Source organism: Homo sapiens, chromosome 4, assembly GCF_000001405.40.
Source record: "Homo sapiens chromosome 4, GRCh38.p14 Primary Assembly".
Classification (NCBI taxonomy): Eukaryota; Metazoa; Chordata; class Mammalia; order Primates; family Hominidae; genus Homo; species Homo sapiens.
Window position 1 is genome coordinate 13,538,943 of NC_000004.12, and position 17,756 is coordinate 13,556,698.

At 48.5% G+C, this 17,756-nt stretch overlaps 1 protein-coding gene and 1 long non-coding RNA gene across 4 annotated transcripts, besides 6 other annotated features; both read right to left on the minus strand.

Annotated features, from left to right (window-relative positions):
* Nucleotides 1,888–8,802, minus strand: NKX3-2 (NK3 homeobox 2). 3 transcript variants are annotated; one of them, XM_047416050.1, is made up of 3 exons: nt 8,640–8,802; nt 5,007–7,374; nt 1,888–3,586 (listed from the first exon to the last, which is right to left on the minus strand). In XM_047416050.1, exons 2-3 carry the CDS (start codon nt 5,470–5,472, stop codon nt 3,051–3,053), a joined length of 1,002 nt encoding a protein of 333 aa, XP_047272006.1. In that variant the 5' UTR covers nt 5,473–7,374; nt 8,640–8,802; the 3' UTR covers nt 1,888–3,050. The 3 variants fall into 3 exon arrangements, with proteins under 3 accessions (XP_047272006.1, XP_047272005.1, NP_001180.1); XM_047416049.1 differs by having other exon boundaries at nt 5,007–8,176; NM_001189.4 differs by lacking the exon at nt 8,640–8,802 and having other exon boundaries at nt 5,007–5,566.
* Nucleotides 3,362–3,491: a silencer, noted in NCBI's record as "silent region_15286". NCBI's record gives its function as "represses an Ori minimal core promoter by ATAC-STARR-seq in GM12878 lymphoblastoid cells {active_cell/tissue: GM12878}" and the evidence as "EXISTENCE:reporter gene assay evidence [ECO:0000049][PMID:35858748]".
* Nucleotides 7,134–8,882, minus strand: LINC01096 (long intergenic non-protein coding RNA 1096). Its single transcript, NR_015450.1, has one exon. It is a non-coding gene; the product is annotated as a long intergenic non-protein coding RNA 1096 (long non-coding RNA).
* Nucleotides 7,692–8,192: an enhancer, noted in NCBI's record as "H3K4me1 hESC enhancer chr4:13548258-13548758 (GRCh37/hg19 assembly coordinates)". NCBI's record gives its function as "activates a minimal SCP1, AML or CMV promoter by ChIP-STARR-seq in naive H9 embryonic stem cells {active_cell/tissue: H9 hESC(naive)}" and the evidence as "EXISTENCE:reporter gene assay evidence [ECO:0000049][PMID:30033119]".
* Nucleotides 8,193–8,693: an enhancer, noted in NCBI's record as "H3K4me1 hESC enhancer chr4:13548759-13549259 (GRCh37/hg19 assembly coordinates)". NCBI's record gives its function as "activates a minimal SCP1, AML or CMV promoter by ChIP-STARR-seq in naive H9 embryonic stem cells {active_cell/tissue: H9 hESC(naive)}" and the evidence as "EXISTENCE:reporter gene assay evidence [ECO:0000049][PMID:30033119]".
* Nucleotides 8,409–8,528: a silencer, noted in NCBI's record as "silent region_15287". NCBI's record gives its function as "represses an Ori minimal core promoter by ATAC-STARR-seq in GM12878 lymphoblastoid cells {active_cell/tissue: GM12878}" and the evidence as "EXISTENCE:reporter gene assay evidence [ECO:0000049][PMID:35858748]".
* Nucleotides 8,719–9,018: a silencer, noted in NCBI's record as "silent region_15288". NCBI's record gives its function as "represses an Ori minimal core promoter by ATAC-STARR-seq in GM12878 lymphoblastoid cells {active_cell/tissue: GM12878}" and the evidence as "EXISTENCE:reporter gene assay evidence [ECO:0000049][PMID:35858748]".
* Nucleotides 10,063–10,357: an enhancer, noted in NCBI's record as "tiled region #12016; HepG2 Activating DNase unmatched - State 4:PromP, and K562 Activating DNase matched - State 4:PromP". NCBI's record gives its function as "activates a minimal TATA promoter and a strong SV40 promoter by Sharpr-MPRA in HepG2 and K562 cells {active_cell/tissue: HepG2 | K562}" and the evidence as "EXISTENCE:reporter gene assay evidence [ECO:0000049][PMID:27701403]".

Genomic DNA, 17,756 nt, shown 5'->3' on the forward strand with positions numbered 1-17,756 from the left:
GAGGAGAAAGTAAAGAAAAGGAAGAAAGTAATACTGCAAATTTTCAACGGGAGCCGCGTCTGCGGCAGAAGACCCAGGTAAAGACATTGGTCTGGGTCGCAAAATACGGCGAGAACTCCTTGGAGGACAGGCTGGACCCAGAGGTCGCCTCCAGCTCCCAGAATCAGACCTCAGGGCATTCTCGCCAAGGCAAACCGCGGGACAGCTTGGAGGGAAACAGCCATAATCTGGATCAAACTGAATTCATTTGAGTCATTTTCCCCGGGCAGCCGGAGCCAGTCCGCGGAGCTGGCCCAGGCAGGGGGCCCGAGAGTGGGAGAGAAAGGGAAGGGGCGCCCGGGTCCGCAGGGTAGGTGGAGTCTGCGGTGGAAGATGGAGCCGCCAGGGGTGCGACCGGGACCTCTGTGGCTTTTCCTACTCTAAAGAAACTCCCGGATTCTTTCACCGCCCAATCGGCAAAGATGGAGAACAAACTACCCTCTTAAGACGCAGCAACAAGCAACTGCCTTTTCAGAAAGGGAGAAAATCCCTCCTCCTAAAAAACCCCTCAGTAAGTAGTGATCCCTGGGGAGAAGAAGGGAGGAGATTCTAGTATTATCGGAAATGTTCCAACTCTCTACAAGAAAAACACAGTCATGATTAATTGTATAATTTAAATAGAACTGTAAAGCATTTTATAAAGAAACGAGATGATTGCATTTATAAAGAAACGAGATGATTGCAAGAACCATATGGAAGGTAGTTGGACTCCAGTGGGGGACCGGGTGGGAGTGTGCATATCCCGAGGGCCTTTGCTTCTCCCTTTACATTTTGCTGTTTCTGGAAGCGGGGATAATTTTGTAAAACGCTGGTCACCACGCTCCGCCCGGGCCAGATCCGAGGGCTTGAGGGACCCCAGGCCAAGGCCTTTAGGGTACCAAAGCTTGGAGGCCCGGGGGCTGGGAAAAGTCGCGGTTGCCTTGGAGAGCTAATCGACCTTTCGGCCCCAGGTGAAATTGAAAGAAGCCTTGGCCAGGGTTTTGGTGTTTCCCGACTCGGGTCCAGCGGACTGGAGGCCTCAACGCCCGCAATGTGGCATTAACTCTTCCTTGCTCGCCGGGAACTCGGCTTGAGCTGCCAGTGAAAGTGAGCATTTAGCTCCAGTGAATCCGTAGCATTCTGGGGAGTCTGGGAGCGCCAGCTGCGTATGATCATCTGTAAAATGGGGTAATAAATAACGGTGCCCTGCCCATTCTCTGCTCCCCGGGTGGGCTTCGGTGTGTACCAAATGACGCCCTTTCATTGAGTGCGGGGAAGCGCTTTGAAACCTTGTAGAGCCCCAATTGCACCCGTCCGAGGAAAACGCTCGGGTGACCCTTCTCCGAGAGACAGGTTATTCACGCCTGGTTTGCAACTAATCGCTTCAGAATTTTAGCGGGAGTTTTCACTAAACCACTCTCAAAACTAAACACTAGATAAGGTAGAGAAACGCTCCTAAAATCGAAAGCAGAGAACAGGGTGGGGTGGGGTGAGGGGAGATGAAAGGGTCGGTACATTGGGATGGGGGATGGACATTGGCTGGGGGTTCAACCATGGACTCTTACTAGGCTCTGAAACCAATGCTCACAGGGAGGATGGGGAGAAATCCTAGGAATTTGTTCCCGGTTTCAGTGGGATTCATCCATTACTCCTGCAAAGCCCCCGAAGTCATGATTTTTCTGAGCTGCCCAGGTTTATAACCTGCCTGAGGAGTGGGCGGGCAGCAGGGCTGCTCCCAGGAGAGACTAAGCATCCTTGGTCCGAGACTAAAAGGAGGTTGGAAAAAGCCCCAGCTATTTCCAGCTCGCCTTACTGGTTCCCCAAAAGTCGGGAAAAGACAGTTTCAGAGAAAACGCGGCGTCCAGGAGGGCATGTTAAACTAAAAGTTTATAAATTAAAGAAAAAATACAGCGAATAGAGCTTCCAAACTTCACAAATCTTTTTACAGTTAATACTCTAGTTGAGTGCACAGTGCCATTAAGGAGGCGAAAAGCGGCGAGGTTGACAAGACAGGTGGGATCACCTGTTTAAGGGTAAGTGAGGGGCGGATAGGGGAGTCCCGGGCCAGAGCACTGGAGTCGCAGAGGGCAGAAGGTAGACACTGAGGGCCAGGCAGCGGCACTGCGGTGGGCGCCGTGGAAAGGCTGGCCAGGGATATTCACATTGAGTAGAAAAATAATCGTCATTTGAATACAAACAACTGAAAAGTGCGACACGTCTTAACCTCCTTTACACAAATAAAAAGAAACCAAGGAAAGTTTCCGCAGAGGGCTGCCTGGGTGTGCGCTCTCCTCCTTCCGGGACTCCCAGGCGCTTCCTGCTTGTGCAGGTACCTGGACTTCAGAGAAGGAAGATGTGGAGACCCCCGGCTTGCACCACACTTGGAGGCTCCCCTCCTTACATTCAGCACCCGAATCGGGCACCCCCACCCTAGCTCTGACACACAGGAGGGGTGGAGCAGAGGGCCTGAAAACCCAATCCTTCACGTTTCAAATCAACCCCTGGCCTGGTGCTGCCTGGGACTGCCAGGGTTTCGCACCCCTTGGTTACAAATGCAATTTCCAAAAATAAAAGATATGTAGATACACATAGATTGGTAGCATGGATACCATGAACTAGTGTGGCCTAGTGCAGAAAGCTCCCAGCAGGCCTGAAATTCTGAGGATTCAGGCTATGTGGTCTCCAGGAGTTGCCGCTCAGGGAAAACCCCACCCCCAGGCAGACATATTCGAATCAAAATTTAATTCCAACATTGTCATGATAATAAATAGAGCCCAGGGGCTTCCAGGCAGGTGGGCGATCAGGGCCCCTAGGCCATAGGGTGCCTCTGTTCAAATTAGAAAAAGGCGCCCCCTCAGGGCAGACTCAGCCCAGCTGCCAGGGGACAAGTCCTGGCTAACGGGAGCTGGAGCTGGGTTTCACCTCCAGGTGCCTCCTTGGCGGGGCGCCCCGTGCAGGCTACAGCCTACAGCTGTCAGCGCCGGTCCGGAGCCGGAGCGCGGGAATCACTCGCTGCCTCAGCCCAAGCGGGTTCACTGGGTGCCTGCGGCAGCTGCGCAGGTGGAGAGCGCCCAGCCTGGGAGGCAGTAGTACGGGTAATAGTAGGAGGGCTGCAGTGGCAGAAGCGAGGGTGGCCGCAGCACTTCGCCGGGCAGGTATTGTCTCTGGTCGTCGCGCACCAGCACCTTTACGGCCACCTTCTTGGCGGCGGGCGCCGAGGCCAGCAGGTCGGCTGCCATCTGCCGGCGCTTTGTCTTGTAGCGACGGTTCTGGAACCAGATTTTCACCTGCGTCTCGGTGAGCTTCAGCGACGCGGCCAGGTCTGCGCGCTCGGGCCCGGACAGGTAGCGCTGGTGGTTAAAGCGGCGCTCCAGCTCGAAGACCTGCGCGTGGGAGAAAGCGGCCCGCGAGCGCTTCTTGCGTGGCTTGGGCGCCGCCGGCTCCTCCTCCTCCTCCGCGACGCCTGCCGGCCCGCTGCCGCCCCCGCCGCCGGCCCCGCTGCACAGCGCGGACACGTGTGCACCTCTGGGGCCAACACCGTCGTCCTCGGTCCTTGGGCTGCGGTCGCCTGCGGACCCCGGTGGGAACAGAAACAAGAGACTGTCAGCGCCACAGACGAGGTGAGGCCGGGCCTCAACTGCAGGGGTCACGGGAGTGGGGCGGAAATACACTTTGATCCCACTCAAGCGGAGCGGAGGTCTGGGAGGCCCTGGGCCCGGGAGACCAGTCTTAGACTCTTGCCCCACTGGGTATCCCATCTAGGCCTCTTCTGGGGAGGGCGGCAGACTCAGCCGCTGTGTCAACGCTGTGTTGTCGAGACCAGCTCCCCACCCTCTCTGGGCCCCAGGCTCCCCTCAGTAACTTGGGGCACTCGACCCGAGCATCCGCGAAAGCCCTCCCGGCTCTCAGCGTTGAGCATTGGGATTCTAGACTGCATTTCCGTCTCTCTGCTTGGGTTCACGCGCCTCTCCACACTTAGTTCACACGCACACACGCGCGCGTCCTCGCAGCACACACTTGTCTGGTGCAGGTAAGGGAAGGTGGAGGCGGATCCTGGGGCCAAAGGTATTTAGAATCTTTCACCCTCAGCCGCCTGGGATTGCTGTGAGAGACATGGAAACAGGCTGAGCCGAGGCCTTAGATGAGAGGATGGACTGGAGAGTAAAGAGGGAGGGTTGCCCCTGCATCGAGTTTTTGGACCCTGATCCCACACCAGCTTCTCGGTCTCGTACCCGCCCTTCCGAAGAACTCCAGCAGAAAGGTCCAGCGGTCCCCTGTGCTTGAGGCCTACAGAAGCTTGTACCCAACTAGGGCAGGCACCCGGGTCTTCCAGACCACAGGACAGGACAGGCCACGGCTGAGGAGGCCTCTCTCCTGCCTCCAGGATGAACTAAAGACCCAATCCGGGATCTTCGGCCTAGGGCTGCTCTCCCAGACCTGGGGTCTGAGAAAGCCAAACCAGCCCTTTCCCCAAAGCTCTAGTTCTGCAGATTCTCAGCTCTGGCCCACTCGGAGGTGTTCTTCACCACCTATCCACCTACTGTGGGGCCCGGCCCTGGGACCTTGAACTGGCAGGTCTCTGGTCCAGAGCTAGGTCACTGGCTACCTGAGGTCTCTGAACCCCTCACTTTTCCGCTTCCCTGATTTTGGGGATTTGGGGACAGACACGGCAGAAAGCACTGGCGACGAACTCAAAAACTCCCGAACGCAAGGGGCAGCGGTTCTCCCAACCCAGTCTAATGCACATTGGCCCAGGATGTCTCAGGCCTCACCCCAGGACGTAGGGCTCTGAGGAGCTACTCCGGTCTCTCGCGGGCTCAGTTCCCGAAGTGATAGAGCAGCTCGCGCCAGAGCGCAGAACTTCGGGATTTGGCCAGCCTCCGAGCCCCAGGGCGCAGGGTGCTCAAGCCGACCACCCCACTCGGCGTGGTTGCCCTCCGCGTCCATCCCCTCAGCCCGGCCCCCATCCCCGCGAAGCCGCAGCAGACCTGAGACGCTGGCGGACATCTCGCTGTCGCTCCGGCCCGCGGCTTCCTCCTCTAGGTCTTTGGAAGCGGCCAGCTCACAGACCGGCTGGCCGAGGCTCAAGGATCCCCCCGCAAGGCCGGCCCCGCTGGCCCCCCGCGCGTCCGCGCAGCGCCGCCTGCTCTCGTTCTCCTCGCTGAGCGCGGAGTCCGAGTCCCAGCCTTCCGGGCTCTCCGCAGTCCGCCCCGCAGCTGTTCTGGTACCGGCAGGAGACGCCAGCAGAGAGTCCTCGGCGCCCCCCAACGCGCCCGCGTCCCTCTCCCCAAAGAGCCGCCAACAGCAGACAGCGGGAGCCGCGGCCACCGATGCCGCTGTGCCCCCGGGCGCCGGGCGCCCCTCTGGCGCGGCCAGCCCGCCGCGCTCCTCTTTCTTGTTGAGGATCGCCTGGATGGAGAAGGACGTCAAGGTGTTGGCGCCGCGCACAGCCATCTGCGCCGCGGGCAGGAGCGGCCGGCGGGGCGGGCAGCTGGGGCGCCGAGCAGCTCCGAGCGGGACAGAGAGCGCCGGCGGCCGCAGCGCGAGTGAGCTGGGTGTGCGAGGCCGCCGCCGCCCACTGCTGCGCGGCCCAGCAGCTCCCGCCCCACTCCGTCCCAGGATCAGCGCCGACCCTCGCCCCCACCTTAGAGGCCCACCCCGCCCGGAGACCCCCTCCCCCCGAATCCAGAGCCAGACGCTCTCCTTTCGCAGCTCAGCTGGATTATCTCATCGCTTCTCGCCCTTAGGGGCGGGCTGGGGTCTGCCCCCTCGGGGGACGTGAAGGAGGATTGGCGGGGGCCCCTCCGTGGCAGCAGTCCCCTCCCGAGCGCCGCCGGGGCGCACAGCCCGAGTCACTTTTTCTTTGCGCGTCTGTCCCTTCCTCGCCTGCAGGATTTCGCTCCTGGCCCGTCCTCCCCTTCCCTGCTGGGCAGGCTCTTCCGGAGCCCACCCCCGGCGGCGGCGGCGGTAGCCGCGGCCGCGGCCGCTGGATTCCGAGAGGCGCGGGGAACTTTTTTACCCCCTGCCCTGGTTTTATCTGTTTCTTTTCTCTTTCCTTCCCTTGCGTTCCACTGTACCACCCCCCTCCCGCCCGGGTGTCATTCCTCACTGCTGAGTGACAGCCTGAGGCCACACCCCTCCACTGGGCTGTCCCGGGCGCTCCCGGCCGTCCATTGGCTGGCTCCAGTTGGGCGACGTTGACTTTAACAGACAAAACTGGGCACGTTGCGCCGCTAAAGACAGGGTCTGACTTAACCCCTTCTCTCCTAAGCCTGGTCCTCGAAGCACCCTCCAGCAACAAGGAGGCTCATCCGACCCAAACCACGTTTCTTACCTCTGCAGATGTATCCACTTATTCCAGCGCTTTAACAGAACACTGATACTAAGTTGAGTCAAATCTGCGGAGAAAATCCAAGATAATGCAGTTCCATAAATCATGCTCGTAGTTTCTGTTCTCTAGGAAGGATTATAAACACGAAGAACAAAATGCATCCTTTTTTTTCTCCCTACAGTTTCGCCGCTTCTTCATTGCTAATGCTCTTTGCTGAAATGATCAGTTAATTAAGATCACTCTAGAAATATTTTTCTTTCCTCGTCGTCTTTGATTTGATTCGATTTTTATAGAGGAATTATAAAAAAATGGTATAGTTAGAACTAAAGTCAGGAGAAGAATTGAAAGGCATCTTTGGGAGAATTTCTGTAAATTTTATGGTCGTTTCCCTGGCAGACCAATATTGAATTTAATTGGAGTTTGTTAAGTTTTGCATCAGGAAGAAAAAAAAAACTTTCAATTTGTTTTTTTTAAATATCTCTTACTTGTGAGTTGAATAAAATTATAAATAGATATGTTTGTTTGCTTAGAAGTATACCTAGGAATTACCATAAAGTGATCCAGAAGTGACAACACTTTTTGCTCTTTAAAAAATAAGAAATGCATTGTATTATGTAATAGTAGGAACCAAGCTAAGAAACACAAATATTGTGGGTATATAAAAACATTTTAAAATGTGTTATTCCTTTTTTAATATAAAATTTGCTCAATTAACGTACTTCACTGTTTTCCATAAACTTTACCAGAGAGTTAACACCAAATACACAAACTTGAACCATTAAATACATTTAAAGGACTATGATTTTAATTTATTAAATTGCTAGGATTGGTAGTTTTGGTGTCATTAAAATAAATAACATCTCCCCTTGTTGCTTTCTTTTTGGTTGTTCTTTTTCTGCACCGCAGAAGGAAATACACTGACTATTCATAGTTCTCAGTCTCAGAATGAGGTTTTGCAGCATCTATACTTTTCAGCATTTCGGTTACATGATGCTTTCTTGCTTTGTGCAAACCTTGTAGGGTACCTGGGAAAAAACATCCACTTGAGGTCATTGCCCTTTACAGCTCTTTACAATTACATCAGTTTTGAAGGAACGCCATTTAAATTTGGTGTCAGTGCTCAGCAAGTGTAAGGACGCAGAGTGGAACAGCAGAATGCTTACAGTCTTTCAAAAACAGTGTGTCCTCTCCTCCCCCGCTGTATTATTTAAATTACCGTTCTCCTCACTTCGGGCAGGGATGTTGGGAATTATGTATAGTGAGGAGATTGACACTGGTTGCCTGGAAGGTAGGGGACGGGCAGGTATGGGTTTGGTGTCCCGTACAGCGATCGCTTTGTGGGTTTAGTACTTGGTGCTGACAAATAATGGAGTGAGATCCGAACATAAAGGCAGGCAGAGATGTTTTGGGGCTGAATCACCGAATACTAGAGTAGGTTTGGGGCTACGTAAAGACTTGCTTGAAAACAACTACCATTTAGTTGCGAATCCCTCCCCTCTTCCCTTTGATTCGATGTTTAAAAAGAATCCCAAATCACAGTTGGACATACTCCTGCCACAGCCTTGGGCAGAAGTCTTCAAAGCATGAAAAGATGTGGTTTGGCGACTTTGAGTTGTCGGGTATTTTTGTGTCCCAGGAGTGTGAGAAAGGGGCTACGTTCCGCGTCTTCCGGAGGCGCACAGCAAGGGAGTCTCCTGGTGTCATCTCGGGCCATTACGGCGCTTAGTCGATCATTAGGTCTGTGGGTGACTGTAGGCAGAGCCGGGAGTTGGGTGCTTGGCGCGGAGGGTGAACTCGCGGGTCTTGAGCTGCAACTAGAAGCTGCTCCTAGCAAGGGGTCGGGTGGAGATGAAAAGACTGTGGGGAAGGGGAGGTGGTTGTATGCCCAGAGATATCCCGGCGTAACTACGGAGTCCAGGCCCAGAGTGGCGGTGTGTGGCGAAGGCGCAGCAGGCCTGCGCCTGTCGGAGGACGGCAGATCTGGACGCGACCGCGCGGGCGTGCCTGGGTCCCGCTTCCTGCCCATCGAGGGCGACTTCCTTCGGGCTCAGCTGTGAGCTCCAGGAACTCTGCAACCTCCCGACGGGCGCCACGCTCCGGCTTGGGCCGGCCCGGGAGTTGGCGGAGCTGCGCGGCCCGGCCGGGCGGCCGGTGAGGCTTTCGAGAGGCACCGGGCTCGCTCAGCGTCCGCGCCTCTCTACCCCGCCGCGCCCCCTCCGCGCCCACGGGCCCATTTTTTCCTAGTCTTCTGCCTCTCTTCCTTCTTCCTCCCTCCCCTCCTCCTCCACACCTTTGTCTTCTTCCTCCTCCCTCCTCCTGCTTCTCCTCCGCAGTTTGGATCCTACGGGCCCCCTACGTGCCGCGCCCTTCGGTCCCCGGAACCGCCCGGGCTGGGGGTGCTGCTGCGCGGTGAGACTTCCGCGGGCGGCGGGCGGAGAGCGGGATTTGACTGCGAAAGCCAAGGGGGCGGGGAAGGGGAAGCCCCGGCCCTCGGGGGCGCGCAGTAAACTGCTGCACACGTGCCCGCGCTCCCGAGGGGGGCGCCCAGTGGGCTCGGGATTTCCTGGCTGCGCCACCGCGCGCCTCGCCCCCGACGCCCGCCACCTGTGCCCTGGGCCGCCTTCCCTGACGCCAGCGGCCGGAGGTCGCGCGCGCCGGGTGCTGCCCAGCAACGAAAGGCCATGCGGGGTTCGTCCCTCAGATGCCGGTGACCTTGATTGAAGTCACCTGCCTTCTCTAGCTTCCAGTCCTTTAAAACGAGGGTTTGGACCCGGTGCCTTCTGAACCCGGTGCTTCACTGAGTGAGCAAGTGAAGGGTGTGTGTGTGTGTTTGGGGTGGGGGCGGGGGCGAGGGGAGGGAGGGGCAGCGTTGCCGGCTCCCCAGAGCCAGGTCCAGGCAGAGGTCGCGCCCAGCACTGACCGTCGGTCCCAATCCGCAGACTCCCGAGGGCGATCCAAACCGCCTAAGCATCCCAAGCGTCCAGCACCCGCGCCTGCGTTCCTGAGTAATCCAGCGCCCTGCAGCGTTTTTCATGCACACGATCAAAATATATCAGACTGCAGAGAGAGGCTGTATTGTAACTGGCCAGCTTATAATACTATAAATAATAATATAAAAGGTAGTTTTATATTTTAACAAATATTGCTCACTGACAGTGTGCCAGGAACCAAAGCCTATTGTTTCATTGAATGTACACACCCCTGGGATTGGAATGAGTAGAAAACATTGTTATGCCCGTTTTACAGATGAAGAAACTGAGACTCCTGACTATCAGTAAGTGGCTGTCAGGATTTAAATCAGGCTTTGTCTGATGTCAAATCCAGTTGGATTTTCTACTCTAATCGGCTTTTCTCATTAACCTTATTAATTGTTTCCCATCATAGACCTTACCCATTTTTAATTGCTTATTCATTGGAAAAGGAGCTTCGTTCGGATTTAAGGTAATCAAAGAAAAAATTTAGTCAGACAAATCTAATGACTTTTTTTCTGTTCCACGCATTTGAAAACAAATCACACCAAGGCCTGCGGATCTGAACGTAAACCTCGTTGTGTAGAAAGAAGGAAACACACCATTTTATTATAATCAACAAACTAAACCGTGTGTAGAGGGAGACAGCCAGGTGATGGAAACTCATTAGGTTCAGAAACCAGATTGTGCGCGCGGTTCTGAGACGTAGCCAAGCGACCTCACGCAAGACCCTCTTTGGGGCTTAGTTTTCTTACCTAAAAAGCCAGGGTTGGAGATCACCCCTCAGGGTGTTAAAAAGACGTGCCAGCCTCGAACCCTCCTGGGTATGGTGGAGGACGAGCGCCACCTAGCGGGCATCCCTCTAGGGTTGTGCGTACTTTTATGGGGAGGTACTGGAATAAGTAGTACACGAAACGGACTGTTTTGCTTCTAGTTTCGTGTACACAGCCTCGCGCTGCCAGAGATCTAACAGCGGAGATGTTTCATTTTAAAAACTCACCCAGGCACGATCAACACCTCCATTGAAGACTCACCTCGCTCCAGGGCCAAGGGGAAGGGACTGGAGCAGGACGCGGGCGTGTTGGGATCGGTTTCAGAACGGAGGCCACAGCAAGCCCCTGGCCCACCTCCTACCCTATCCTGCATTCCACAGCTGCTTGCTGTGAGTATATAACCAGAGCTCTCGCTGGATGATCATTTAGGGCACAGGCATCCCTGTGTGTTTTATTGGCGCCAAAGGAATGTTTTGTTTTGTTTTGTTTTGTTTGTTTTTGTTTTTGTTTTTGAGATGGAGTCTCACTCTTGTCACCCAGGCTGGAGTGCAATGGCGCAATCTCGGCTCACTGCATCCTCCGTCTCCCGGGTTCAAGTGATTCTCCTGCCTCAGCCTCCCGAGTAACCAGGATTACAGGTGCCCGCCACAACGCTTGGCTAATTTTTGTATTTTTAGTAGAGATGGAGTTCCACCGTGTTGGCCAGTCTAGTTTCCAACTCCTGACCTCAGGTGATCCGCCCACCTCAGCCTTCCAAAGTGCTGAGATTACAGCCGTGACCCACCGCACCCGGCTAGGAATGGTTTTTTAGAAACTAATTTATTCATGATAGAAACTGAGGTATTTCACCCTAAAGATCAGAAATTTCCGGCACTGAAAACAAACCTCAGTTTCACTCTCTCACCCAAGCTGGAGTGAAGTGGCACAATCTCGACTCACTGCAACCTCTGCCTCCCGGGTTCAAGCGATTCTCCTGCCTCAGACTCCTGAGTATCTGGGACCACAGGCATGCACCACCACGCCTGGCTAATTTTTGTATTTTTAGTAGAGAAGGGGTTTCACTACATTGGCCAGACTGGTCTCGAACTCCTGACCTCAAGTGATCCGCCCGCCTCAGCCTCCCAAAGTGCTGGGATTACAGCCACCGCGCCTGGAAGGGTTTTATTTTCTTATTTAGGTTGTCTATTTGACAGTGGGTGGATGGCATTTGTATTCGGGGGCTTGAGGAGGAGAGCAGGGGGAGGAGCCAGCTTGAATAGGTAAAGAGAAACATGCTGTGGTCAATTGCTTGTGCTGAGTTTCAGATGCTTGTGAAACAAAATGAAAGTCTTCTGGATTTATTATATATTTTTTTCTCTAAAACACTATTCTGAAAGCCCTTGCAGTGCTAAGCCAAGTTCTCCTTGGGAAATTTCCAGCTAGTTCTTATTTTGTGTTAGGCATTATTCTAGGATCTGTAGTTCAAGGTCTTGTAAACTCCTACTCTCCACAGGCTACATTCTGTTGGAAGAACACCTATAAATAGACAAATGCCTAAACAAAACAATGAAAAAAACATCAGGTGGTAATAAATACTATGAAGAAAATTTAAAAAGAGTGATGTCAGCTGACATCATACTGAATGGGCAAATGCTGGAAGCATTCCATTTGAAAATCAGAATAAGACAAGGATGTCCTCTCTCACCTCTCCTATTTAACGTAGTATTGGAAGTCCTGGCCAGGGTGATCAGGTAATAGAAAGAAATAAAGGGCATCCAAATAGGAAGAGAAGAAGTCAAACTATCCCTGTTTGCAGACAACATGATTCTATATTTAGAAAACCCCATAATCTCTGCCCAAAATTCCTTCAACTGATAAACAACTTCAGCAAAGTCTCAAGAGACAAAATTAATGTGCCAAAATCACTAGCATTCCTATACACCAACAACAGCCAAGCCAAGAGCCAAATCAGGAATGTAATCCCATTCGCAGCTGCCACAAAAGAATAAAATACCTAGGAATACAGCTAACTAGGTAGGTGAAAGATCTCTATGATAAGAACCACAAAACACTGCTCAAAGAAATCAGAGAGGACACAAACAAATGTAAAAACATTCCATGCTCATGGATAGGAAGAATCAATAGCATTAAAATGGTTATACTGCCCAAAGCAATTTCTAGATTCAATGCTATTCCTATTAAACTATCATGAGATTCTTCACAGAACTAGAAAAAACTATTTTAAAATTCATATGGAACCAAAAAAGAGCCTGAATAGCCAAGGCGATCCCTACGCAAAAAGAACAAAACTGGAGGCATCATACTAACTGACTTGAAACTATACTACAGGGCTACAGTAACCAAAACAGTGTGGTACTGGTACAAAAACAGACATATAGACCAATGGAACAGAATAGAGAGCCCAGTAATAAGGCCACACACCTACAATCATCTGATCATCAATAAAGCAGATAAAAATGAGCAATGGGGAAGTAACACCCTATTCAATAAGCGGTACTGGGATAACTGGCTAGCCATATACAGAGGATTAAAATTGGACCCTTCCCTTACACCACATATAAAAATCAACTCAAGATGATTAAAGACTTAAATGTAAAACCCAAAACTACAAAAGTCCTGGAAGAAAACTAGGCAATACAATTTTGAACATAGGAATGGGCAAAGATTTCATGATGAAGATGCCAAAAGCAATTGCAACAAAAGCAAAAATTGACAAACGGGATCTAATTAAACTTAAGAGCTTATGTACAGCAAAAGAAACTATCAACAGAATAAACAAAACAACAGAGTAAAGAAACAACAGAGCAAATCCTACAGAATGGGAGAAAATATTTGCAAACTATGCATCTGACAAAAGTCTAATATCTAGCATATATAAGGAACTTAAATTTACAAGCAAAAAACAAACACTCCATTGAAAAGTGGGCAAAGGACATGAACAGACACTTTTCAAAAGCAGACATACATGCAACCAACAAGCATATGAAAAAAAGCTCAGTATCACTTATTAGAGAAATGCAAATCAAACTCACAATGAGATAACATCTCACACCAGTCATAACGGCTATTACTAGTCAAAAAACAGAAGCTGGAGAAAAATGAACACTTATACACTGTTGGTGGGAGAGTAAATTAGTTCAGCCACTGTGGAAAGCAGTGTGGGGATTCTTCAAGGAGCTAAAAATAGAATTACCATTTGACCCAGCAATCCCATTACTGGGCATATACCCAAAGAAATATAAATTGTCCTAACATAAAGGCATATGGACCTATATGTTCACTGTTGCACTACTCACAATAGGAAAGACATGAAATCAACCTAAATGCCCATCAGTGATAGAATGGACAAGAAAATATGGTACATATACACCACGGAATACTACACAGCCATAAAAAAGAACAAGGTCATGTGCTTTGTGGGAACATAGATGGAGCTGGAGGCCATTACCCTTAGCAAACTAATTCAGGAACAGAAAACTAAATACTGCATGTTCTCACTTATAAGTGAGAGCTAAATGATGAGAACACATGAGCACAAAGAGGCGAACAATAGATACTGTGGCCTACTTGATGGTGGAGGGTGGGAGGAGGGAGAGGATCAGGAAAAATAGCTGTTGGGTACTAGGCTTAATATGTGGGTGACGGATTTGTGTAACAAACTTCTATGACATGAGTTTACCTATATAACAAACCTGCACATGTACCTCTGTATGTAAAAGAAAAGCTAAAAATGAAAATAGAAACAAAAAACAGAGTGATATGATAGAGGGTGACTTAAGGCTACTTTTCATGGGTGAGATTCAAATCTGAAAGAGATACCTTGTGAAGACTGAGAAAGAGATTTTCAGAGAGAGGAAGAAATAGTGCAATAAACATTAGGTGGGAACCTCCATTATGGGCTGAAAGTGTTCTCCTCAAAGTGATAGATTGAGATCTTAATCCCCAGTGTGGTGGGATTAGGATATAAGGCTTTCAGAGTATAATTAGGTCATGAAGGTGAAGCTCTGATGAGTGGGATTAGTGCCCCTACAAGAAGAGACAAGAGAGAACTTGTTTCCTCCCTCTCTCCCCCATCTATCTGTTTCTCTCTGTCTCTGTCTCTCTCTTTTTCTCTGCCATGTGAGGATACAACAAGAAAGCATCTGTCTCCAAACACTGGATCTACCAGCACTTTGATCTTGGACTTCCCAGCCTCCAGAACTGTGAGAAATAAATGTTAAGATTCCAGTCTATGGTATGCTTGTTATAGCAACCCTAGCTGACTAAGATGCAGTCATAGTGTTCTCACAGACATAACAGCTTGCTCCTGTGGCCGGAGGACAGTGGGAGAGAGGCAGAGTGATGAGAGTTGGAGTCCAAGATCAAGCAGGGTTTTTAAGCCTCAGTGAAGGGCATGAACTTTATTCTAAGTATATGGGAGACCATGGAAAATTGTACACAAAGGGGAACCAGACTATGATTTACATTTTTAAAAAATTACCTTGGCTTTTCTATGACAAGATGATTGTGGGGTGAAAAAAGGAAAATCAGGAAGACAAACTAGAAGCTCGTGCAAGAGTCCAAACAAGAGATGATGGTGGCTTGGATTAGGTAGTATTGGAGATGGAGGGAATGGCCAGAATTGCCACCTATTTTGGCACTATTCTTTTTAAAATATCCTAAAAGTAAAAATATATATATATATAAAATTTACCATTTTAACCATTTTTAAGTGTGCACATCAGAAACTAAGTACATTGTTGTGCAATCATCACTGCCATCCATCTCCATAACATTTTCATCTTGCAAAAAAATTCTTTCCCTATTAAACACTAACTGCCCATTTCCCCCTCTCCCCAGACCCTGGCAACCGCTATTCTATGTTCTGTCTCTATGAATTTGACTACTCTAAGTACTTCATATGAGTAGAATCACAGAATATTTGTCCTATTGTGATTGGCTCATTTCATTTAACATGATGTTTTCAAGGTTCATCCATGTTGTAGCGCGTGTCAGAATTTCCTTCCATATTAAAGCTGAATAATATTCCATTCTCTACGTATGCCACATTTTGTTTATCCAGTCATCTGTCAATGGACACGTGTGGCTTTCACATTTCAACTAGTGTACATAATGCTGCAATGAACATGGATGTACAAATATCCCTTTGAGACCCTGCTTTCATCTGTGTGTGTGTGTGTGTGTGTGTGTGTGTGTGTGTGTGTGTGTGTGTATACCCAGAAATGCAATTGCTTGATCATACGATAATTCTGTTTAATTTTTTGAGGAACTACCATATGATTTTTCGCAGCAGCTGCAGCATTTAGCATTCCCATCAGCAGTGCACAAGGATTCCATTTCTCCACATCCTCCCAACGCTTCTTATTTTATATTTTTTTAATGGTAGGAGAAAACATATGACATAAAATTTACCATCTTAACAATTTTTGAGTGTACATCTCAGTGGGGTTGAACCTATTCAAATTGTTGTGGAACAGATCTCTAGAACTTTTTTATTTTGCAAAACTGAAACTCTATACTCATTGAACAACAACTCCTTATTTCGCTCTCACCCCAGCCCCTGGCAACCACCAAGCTTATACTTTCTGTTTGCATAAGTTTGACTACTTTAGATATTTCATATGCATGAAATCATACAGTATTTATATTTTTATGACTGGTTTATTTCAGTTACCATAATGCCCTCAAGGTTCATTCATATTGTAGCATTAATATGGCCGGATTTCTTTCTTTTTGAAGACTGAATAATATTCTATTGTATGTACATATCACATTTTCTTTATTCACTTTATTCACTCATTCATCCATTTGGGTTGAATTAATGCCCCTTCTACTTCTTGGCTATTCTTATTTTTTTTATTGCATTATCTCATTTATATGTAGAATCGTAAAAAAAATTGAATATACAGAGATAGAGAGTAAAACGGTTGTTACCAGGGGTGGGGTTGGAGAGGAGAAGAAAGTTTATGAACTGGGTTAAGACTTCTAACTACACTATTTATCAAAGTAAATTAATATGAAATATTAGAATGGAAACTTACAGCAAAATGAAAGAAGGAGCAAGGTTGCAATATTACCATTTAGGATATTTTGTTGAACTAAAATAAATTTTGAAAGATTCCTAAAAACGAAAAATGGGTTCTATTTTAGAACCCAGTGATGTTGTTCAAAATGCCATAATATATGTATAAGCGCTTTGAAAAAGTCTTTTGCAATGATATATTGCTTTTAGCCTAATTAATATTTGTTATAGTTTTAAAGCAAAGACCTATTTCAGAATTCAAGTGATAGAAACATTAAAGAAGTTTTACATTCTATAATCTTACATCCATTTATGAAGGAAAATAAGTTGCTGAATACATTATAATTATGTAATAATGGCACCACTTAATAGCTATGCAACCTTGGACAAATTGCGTAAATATTCTAAGCCTTAATTTTCTCATTTATAAAATGGAGGTACCTCGTATGGTAGCCAGCCTCCAAAATGGCCCCCAGTGGTCCCTGCCTGCTAGTATTCAGGTTCTGATCTAGTTCCCTCCTATGGCTGTTCTGAATAATGCTACAATAAAAATGTGTGTGAAAATATCTCTTAGAGATCCTGCTTAATGTTCTTTTGGATATGTACTCAGAAATGGAATTGCTAGATCATATAATTTTATTTTTAATTTTTTGAGAAACCTCCATACTGTTTTTATAACGGCTGTATCATTTTACATTCCCATTTGCAGTGCAAAAGGATTTTAATTTCTCTACTTCCTCACCAAAATACTTGTTATTTTCTGTTTTTGTGATAGCAGTCATTCTAATCATTATGAAGAGCATCTCATTGTGGTTTTAATTTGCATTTCCCTAATGACTGGTGATGGTGAGCATCTTTTCATGTACTTTTTGGCTATTTGTATATCTTCTTTGGAGAAACGTCTATTCAAGTCCTTTGCTCATTTTTTTCTTTTATTTTTTATTTTTTATTATACTTTAAGTTCTAGGGTACGTGTGCACAATGTGCAGGTTAGTTACATATGTATACATGGGCCATGTTGGTGTGCTGCACCCATTAACTCGTCATTTACGTTAGGTATAACTCCTAATGCTATCCTCCCCCCTCCCCCCACCCCACAACAGGCCCCAGTGTATGATGTTCCCCTTCCTGTGTCCAAGTGTTCTCATTGTTCAATTCCCACCTATGAGTGAGAACATGCAGCATTTGGTTTTGTGTCCTTGCAATAGTTTGCTGAGAATGATGGTTTCCAGCTTCATCCATGTCCCTACCAAGGACATGAACTCATCCTTTTTTATGGCTGCATAGTATTCCATGGTGTATATGTGCCACATTTTCTTCATCCAGTCTATCATTGATGGACATTTGGGTTGGTTCCAAGTCTTTGCTATTGGGAATAGTGCCACAATAAACATATGTGTGCATGTGTCTTTATAGCAGCATGATTTATAATCCTTTGGGTATATACCCAGTAATGGGATGGCTGGGTCAAATGGTATTTCTAGTTCTAGATCCCTGAGGAATTGCCACACTGTCTTCCACAATGGTTGAACTAGTTTACAGTCCCACCAACAGTGTAAAAGTGTTCCTATTTCTCCACATCCTCTCCAGCACCTGTTGTTTCCGGACTTTTTAATGATCGCCATTCTAACTGGTGTGAGATG